Source organism: Homo sapiens, chromosome 11 (genome assembly GCF_000001405.40).
Source record: "Homo sapiens chromosome 11, GRCh38.p14 Primary Assembly".
Classification (NCBI taxonomy): Eukaryota; Metazoa; Chordata; class Mammalia; order Primates; family Hominidae; genus Homo; species Homo sapiens.
Genome location: NC_000011.10, coordinates 46,245,317 through 46,253,307, shown reverse-complemented (window position 1 = coordinate 46,253,307; position 7,991 = coordinate 46,245,317). Strand labels below are relative to the sequence as shown.

Genomic DNA, 7,991 nt, shown 5'->3' with positions numbered 1-7,991 from the left:
TGGGCTCCCCACCTTCTCGACTCAAACACCAGGACCAGTGCCTGCTCATGCCAGAGCCATGGGTGGAGAAAGACCCATGAATCCCTCCTGGGGAGCCTGGAGTTTTTTATAAGATAGGGTTGGCTGGAAATCTGGCTCTGTTCCATTCTGCCTATGTGACCTTAGGCAGATTCCTGAGCCTCTCTGAGGCTCAATTGCTTTATAAAGCGGGGATGTCAGCCGGGCGCAGTGGCTCATGCCTATAATCTTAGCACTTTGAGAGGCCAAGGCGGGTGGATCACCTGAGGTCAGGAGTTTGAGACCAGCCTGGCCAACATGGCGAAACTCCGTCTCTACTAAAAATACAAAAATTAGCCGGGTGTGGTCGTGGGCGCCTATAATCCCAGCTACTCGGGAGGCTGAGGCAGGAGAATTGCTTGAACCCGGGGGGCAGAGGTTGCAGTGAGCCGAGATGCCGAGATTGCACCACTGCACTCCAGCCTGGCGACATAACGAGACTCCGTTTCAAAAAAAAAAAAAAATGGGTATGTCGTCATTGATGATAACAGACACATACCTCTTCCAGTGGTTGAAGGATTAAACACAGTAGTACGCAGGACACGATTCCATGTTTTGCACACAGCCAGGCATAGAACAAACACTGAGGAGCAGTGCCTGGTGTTTGTGTAGCCCCAGTGACCTCTCCTGCCCCAGCCCCAGCTCAGGATCCAGTCTTTACTCTGATGTGGCAGGAGAGATGTAAAACCTCCCTCCCCTTCTTGGGTGCCCCTGCTCTCCAAAGGTCCTCTGGGACTGCCCAGGCTATTACTATTGTTAACAATAACAATGACTGCTGCTCCCATTTATTGATCACTGGCTCTGTGTCAGGCATTGTGCCAAGTTTTCTCTTCTTTCATCGTCATGGCAATAGAGGAGGTACTATTAGTTTCTGTGTAATCCAGGTAAGGACACTGAGGTACAGCGAGGTTAAGTGACTTGCTGGTGTCACACAGGTAGGGAGTGGCCCAGCTGGGAGTCTTTCGAGGCTGGGAGAACATGAGTGACAGAATGAAGAGATTCTACAGACTCAGCTGCAACAATTGCCAGGGCTCCTGGTCTGGGATCCAGTGGGGTTCTGCTGGGAGGCTGCTGAATTCTGTTCATGGTCACTGAAAGGGCACCCTGGTGGCCTGGCGGCAGGACTGGGCTTCTGCCTACACTCAAGCCCAGGTGCTTCCTGCCACTCTGCCCAGTGAGACTGCCTTGATCCACAGCTGCGGTAGGAGACGAGGACCGTGACTGTCTCCTTCCAGTCTGGGGTACCAGGCAGGGCCCAGACAGGAGACCAGGACCCAGGTTCAGCAGGGGAAATGGTTGGAAATGTTGAAAAGGCATCTGGGGGTGGGGAGGCCAACCAGAGAGGAGCAGCAGCAGGAAACTGTCACCCCTCCGCCCCCCTACCAGTGGGGTTGCTCCCAGGGCTGGAGAAACAAAGGGAGGGAGCCCAGAACCTGGACTGCCCAAGGGAGCTGGAGCCATGAAGCAGATGGACTCACAGCCAGAGCTGCCACCCAGATCTGGAGATCAGGAGGAATACCCAGACTTCTCTTCTTCCTCTGCCCTCCATCTTCCTCCAGAAACTTTCATTGGGTAAAACTAATCAGAAGCCAGTTGGCAAGAGGGTCTGGAGCATGTGATTTGCCCTCCAAGATACTGAGCAGAACACAGGCAAGGAACAGATGTGACAACAAACCAAACAAATGACCAGGACACAGACCTCTCCAGGGCTGCCTCCTGCTCCTGTGGCCACCCCTCACCTGCTTCAGGGGTCCTGCTGAGTAGGGGACAGTGGACTCTCGATGCTGGTGATCACACTCCCTCCTGGAGTCCACCTGGGGCTGTGTCTCTTCTCCTAAACCCCCACTTGTTGGTGTCAGGAGACCCTAAGCGACAGAGCTGGCCTCTCCCTTCACATACTTGACCTGGATTGCCTGGTGGTCTTCACTGCCCTGCACTTCACTTCAGTGACTGTGTTTCTCTCTTGTCCTAGCCTTCTCTCCATCAGTACTGACCTTACGGGGCTGGGGCCTCACCATGCCCTTCCCCTATGCCTGCTTAAGTTATAAGACCACAGATGATGCCGCCAAATTCCAAAGGTTTCCCACCAAGCACTCTAGTTAAGAGTCCAGGCTGGGGGGACTCTCAGACCTGAGGTCAAAGCCAGCTCTGTCACCTACCAACCTTGAACAAGTGATTTTACCTCTCTAAGCCTGAATTTGCTCATCTAAAAAAAGGGGAATAGCAGGAAGAATAGCAATAATACATACTTGCAGGGCAGAGGAAAGAGAAAGGCTTACAGCTTATCTGTGAGGTAGTCGTTGCAGGTACAAGAAGAAAAATAGCAACTGAGCATTCATTCCACAAATATTGATTGACACTTTCTGTGCATTGGGGTCTGTCTAGGAACAGCAGGGATAGGAAGAGGAGTGAAATATTGTAAGGTAAGACATGAGGAAACCAACTCGAGCTGGCCTCAATGGAAGGATATTTGTTGGCTCACTTAGTTGGAGGTTGGGGGTCCAGAGGTAGGGTGATGTTATGAACTGAATTATGTCTCCTCCACACTTGTATGTTGAAGCCAACAAATGTCTTTCTGTGACTACATTTGGAGATAGGCCCTTTATGGCAGTTGTTAACGTTAGATGAGTCATAAGGGTAAGGTCCTAATCCAATAGGACTGGTGTTCTTATAAGAAGACAGAGAGCTCTCTGGTATCTCTCCCTCTTCTTAAAAGGATAACAGTCCTATCTGGAAGAGATGCCAGAGAGCTCTCTCTTTCTCCACACATACACAGAGAAGAGGCCATGTGAGGTCCCAATGAGAAGGCAGCCATCTGCAAGCCAGGAAGAGAGGCCTCACCAGAAACCAACTTTGATGGCGCCTTGATCTTGGACTTTTAGCTTCCAGAACTGTGAGAAAATAAATCTCTGTTGTTGAATCCACTCAGTTTATGGTATTTTGTTATGGCAGCCCAAGCTGACTAACACTGTAGGCTTCCAAGTTGATGAGTCCAGAAACTGATTCCATTTCCCTGCAATGCTCTTAACTTTGCCCTCCTCTGTGTGTGGTGCCATCCTTAGGCTGGTAGCAAGAGGACTGCCCTAGTTCCAGGCTCTGCAATGTCTAGCGGAAGATAAAGAGAGAAGGTTGTCCATGAAGCTGCCTGATAAAAACAAGCATGCTCTTTCCTAGAAACCCAAATCAAACCTTCCTGGCATCTATTGGCCCTAACTAGGACACATACCTATTTTGGAACCAATTCCCAAGATTTGGGAAAGCCAGGCACGTGTATTTTGTACAGCATAGGAAAAGCTGTAACACAGAGACCCCACATACGAGTGTAAGCAAAATAGAACGTATGTCTCTTTCATATGAGAGTTCAGAAAAAAAAAAAAAAAGCAGTTGAAGACTGATAGGAGGGCTTGGCCATCATTCAAATGTGGTTTCCCTCTCTAGGTCCAAAGAGACAGCTTCAAATTTCTATCATCTCCCAGGGAGGGAGAAGGGCAGAAGGGTCAGGGAAGCACATGCACAGTGCTTTTGAGAGCCCAGCTTAAAAGTGGTCCGATTATGTCTGCTCACTGTTCACTGGGGGAGCACGTAGACTCCTGGCCACATTGAACAGCAAGGGAGGTTGGGAAATGTAGTCTTTAACGAGGCAGCCATCTGCTCGCCAAAAATCAGGAGTTCTGTTATTTAAAAAGGGGATGGTGCATATGAGTAAACCAGAAAGGTCTCTGCTGCACTCAGATTAGTTAGGGCCAGGTTCCTGAATCAATTATTGGGAAGGGTCAGTTTCCACAGAGCCCCATGGGCTTGCTTCTTCAGTCTCTATACTTTGGGTCTGTCACAGCAGCTTAGCTCATACTCTAAATACTGCACTGCGCCTTGCGTCACCTTGGCTTCTCTTAGGAAGCTGGAAGGGGGAGAATGGATGTTGGGTAGCCAGCCAGCAGTGTCCACTACATTATCTGCCCTTGAGGTCCTGAGATGCTGAGGGAAGAGATGGGTTTAAATAGATAACTATGGTCAACATGACAACTGGTAAACTCACAACAATATATAAAGCCCAGTGAAAACAGAGGGAAGAATTAAGAGGAGGCTTCTTAGAAGGAATGGAAGAGAATCATGAGTTCATTTTGGCTGGGTTTTAAAATAGGTATGGGAATTTCCCAATGGTTTTGGTTGAGGAAGGGCATTTCAGACAAAGAGAATGGCAAAAGTATGGAGGCCTATGGGGTGTGGCTCGTGATCTCAGAGTGGAGAACTGGGGGTACGTTGGGATCAGGTAAAGAAGGGCATCTGAAGGCCATGAGAAGGAAGCAGCCTGTCCCACAGGCCTCTGGAAGCCATGGAGGGGTTTTAGGCCTGGGAAGACATGATCAGATCTGTGTCTTTCTCTGAGGGAGGGACTGGAGGATGACTCGTTAGGAAGCTATTTCACAAATTCGGCTGAGTAATAAAGAGCCCGCATCAGATCAGGGCTTTGGTGGTGGGAAAGGAGACAAGGAGACAAGGAGACAGTTTGCAGAGAGATTTTGGTGGGAGAATGACAGAACTTGGTAACTGGGTGACTAAGGGGGGTTGACTGAGAATGGAGGGGGTGGTGGTTTAAATATGGTTAAATATGATCCTGAGTGTACATGCCTGCGCTACAAACCTAGAGAAGGAGTACAGGAAATGCAAGTTTTGGGGGTGAGAGGAGAAAACGCCTTCCCACTGTCCTGAGCTTGGTCCAAGACAGACTTCTTTGGGTTTCTGAAATGTTTAACAGTCTCTTGGTCGGGCGCGGTGGCTCACGCCTGCAATCCCAGCACTTTGGGAGGCCGAGGTGGGCGGATCACCTGAGCTCGGGAGTTCGAGACCAGCCTGACCAACATGGAGAAACCCTGTCTCTACTAAAAATACAAAATTAGCCCGGTGTGGGGGCGCATGCCTGTAATCCCAGCTGCTTGGGAGGCTGAGGCGGGAGAATCGCTTGAATCTGGGAGCAGAGGTTGCGGTGAGCCAAGATCACACCACTGCACTTCAGTCTGGGCAACAAGAGCAAAACTCCGTCAAAACAAAACAAAAACAAAACAACCAAAAAAAAAAAGTCTCTCTTAACTCAAGGCATCTGAACACTCAGTCCCTCCTCTACAGAATACACCCTTACCCCCAAATCTCCAACTGGCTAATTCCTTATTTCCTCTAAGAGCCTTTCTTGATCCCCTCACCAAAGTCAGAAACCCTCTCCTGTGGTCTCATGGCATCCCATTTTTTTCTTTCCCCACCTCTCACTGGTGGTTACTGAATGCCCGTCTTTCTCCAATACACCTGTAATTTCCATGAGGCAGGAACCATGTCTGTATTTTCCACTGCTTCATTGTCAACAATGAAGTATAGTGCCTGGCACATGGTAGGCACTCATGCTGAGTTTGAGGAATCTAACAGTGGCCATTGGAAATACGAGTTGGCTAATCATTTGGATCTAGGCCCATTTGGATAGAATGCAAGGTAATGGCGCCACCATGGGGACAGGTGATGTGACTCTCGTGTAGGCCTGGATGTTGTGGTTTTTCAACAAGGGCTGATTTTTGCCTTCCCAGGGACATTTCTGATTGTCACAACTGGACGTGAATGTAAACATGTATGCTATTAGCATCGAGAGGGTAGAGGCCAGGGATATTGATAAACATGCTATAATACCCAGGACAGCTCCCCACAACAAAGAATCATCCAGCCTAGACTGTCAATAGTGCCAAAGTGGAGAAACGCTGCAGAGATGGGCGAGCCAACTGGCACGGCTGAGTTCCAATTTGGCCTACTGGCTCCTATGGCCCAACCAAGTAAGAGCAAGAGAAGCTTAGCGGCTGTCACAAGAAATATGGACTTGTGATGTGCAGCCAGGAACCATCTTGGATCAGGCCTCAGTCAGAGGCCCCAACACCTTGGGCAGTTTCCCCTTAACTGAACTCCCAGCCGTAAGCCCAGCCGGCCCAGCCTGGCACTCGTCTCTCTGACTCATTCTGTTGGGTTTCTCTCGCTCTTTGGTGGAAGGGCACCACACTCTCTTCCCGCCCCATCTGCCTCGCTGATTATTTTCAGCTTGGCTTGCAGAGGTCCAACACTGCAATTACTCCCCAACCTCAATGGCTCCTTCTGAAAATAACATTTGGGTCGAAGAAAACCTCAGTCTGGTGGGCTGGATTTTATACTAAACAGTTAAAGAATGGGTGTGGGCAAGGGGGTGGGGGTGGGGACAAGGGAGTGGCACGATGGTACAATTAAGAGAAGAATCTGGAAGAAGGGGAAAGGAAAGGAAATGGAGAGAGGGAAGAGGTGGTGGTGGTAAGGGCTGTTGCAGAAAGAAAATAGATGGGCAGGGGTCATCAATTTTCTAAAAGTCTTACACCAAGTCTTTATTTCTGCCTCTAATTGAAGGTTTTGTTTGCTGTAATAACCCATCCCCACCCCCAATCTTTGAGGCCTGGGAAATTCATGTCTGCCTGGGGCCAGAAGAATTAGTCTATGGGCATACCAATCTTTATCCAAGTTAGTGACCAGATTTTCCAACCCCAAAATAGAAGACACATGGTCTGACATAGGCTTTTTGTTCTCTTTCCAGATGAGAATGGCAGTCTGGGAAATGTAGTTTTAATGTGGATAAGGGGAATTTCTAAGTGTTTCCATGGTCAATGGAGGACAGTAGATAGGATGTTCAAAATAGGGATTGTCACGGACATCAGAGATTTATGGGTTACTTTAGAGAAGAAAATGATATTATTCTAAGTGAAGTAACTCAGGAATGGAAAACCAAACATTGTATGTTCTCACTCATAAGTGGGAGTTAAGCTATGAGGATGCAAAGGCATAAGAATGACACAATGGACTTTGGGGACTCAGGGGAAAGGGTGGGAAGGGGGTGAGGGATAAAAGACTACAAATTGAGTGCAGTGTGTACTGCTTGGCTGATGGGTGCAACAGAATCTCACAGATCACCACTAAAGAACTTACTGATGTAACCAAACACCACCTGTTCCCCAATAACCTACAGAAATAAAACAATAATAAAAAATAAAAAAAGAAGAAAATGAAACATGGGAAATGAGAAACTTTGTCCCATCCAGGTAAAGGGGAGGAGGGGGATCTAGGGAGTGTGGAAAGAAATGCCTGGAAGCACCCTTTGGATTCCAAAGGTGCTTTTAAAAAAAAGGTGCTTTAAAAAATTTTTTTAAAAAATTTAAAGGCTGATTGACCTACCTTCTATGACTGTCGTGAGAATGAACTGAAGTTTGCAAAACGTAGGCCCTTGCACTTAGCACTAAGTAACCAGTAGTTCATGAGTGCTGAGAGAGATTCTTGAATGCAGTTCCTTAACGCTTGTTGGCATTTCTGCCTGTTCTGTGTCACTAACTCAACTTGCCCTGTGGAGACCTCTCAGGGTCAGCCCATTGACCTCTTTGGGTAGTGATGCCAGTGCTGCCCACTGTTACAGAATGTGCCCTCGGAAGGAGTCCTTAGAAGGCTAGAGGGTCCTTCAGCCTTCCATGTGGATGGCTCCATCAATCTGGAGGGGAAAGAAAAGGCCTTCCTCTATTCAGGGCCCACTTTGTTCATTCATTCAATACTATTTTAACGGGTGGCCACCATGTGCCAGGCACTGGGCTGGGTACTGGAGATACAGCACTGACCAAGGCAAGACTCTGTGCTCAAGGAGCTTCTGGTCTAGTGAGGGAAGCAAGTATTTACAGTACGGTGCTATTCAGTGCTAACATCCCGGTAAGTATCAAGTGCCAGGAGAGCACATGGGAGGGGCCCAAACCGAGCCTTAGAAGGAAGAAGAGAACTCTAAACTGGGACAGATGTCCTGAGTTGGTTGGATCAAGGGTGTATGAAGAAATTGATTCTGGGCTGGGCATGGTAGCTCACACCTGTAATCCCAGCACTTTGGGAGGCCAAGGCGGGTGGAT

The 7,991-nt window shown here is 48.5% G+C and overlaps 1 annotated feature.

The window, feature by feature from the left end:
• Positions 5,364-5,708: a transcriptional cis regulatory region, noted in NCBI's record as "candidate enhancer chr11.2129 targeted for multiplex CRISPR interference". NCBI's record gives its function as "positively regulates MDK gene expression in K562 cells {active_cell/tissue: K562}" and the evidence as "EXISTENCE:mutant phenotype evidence [ECO:0000015][PMID:30612741]".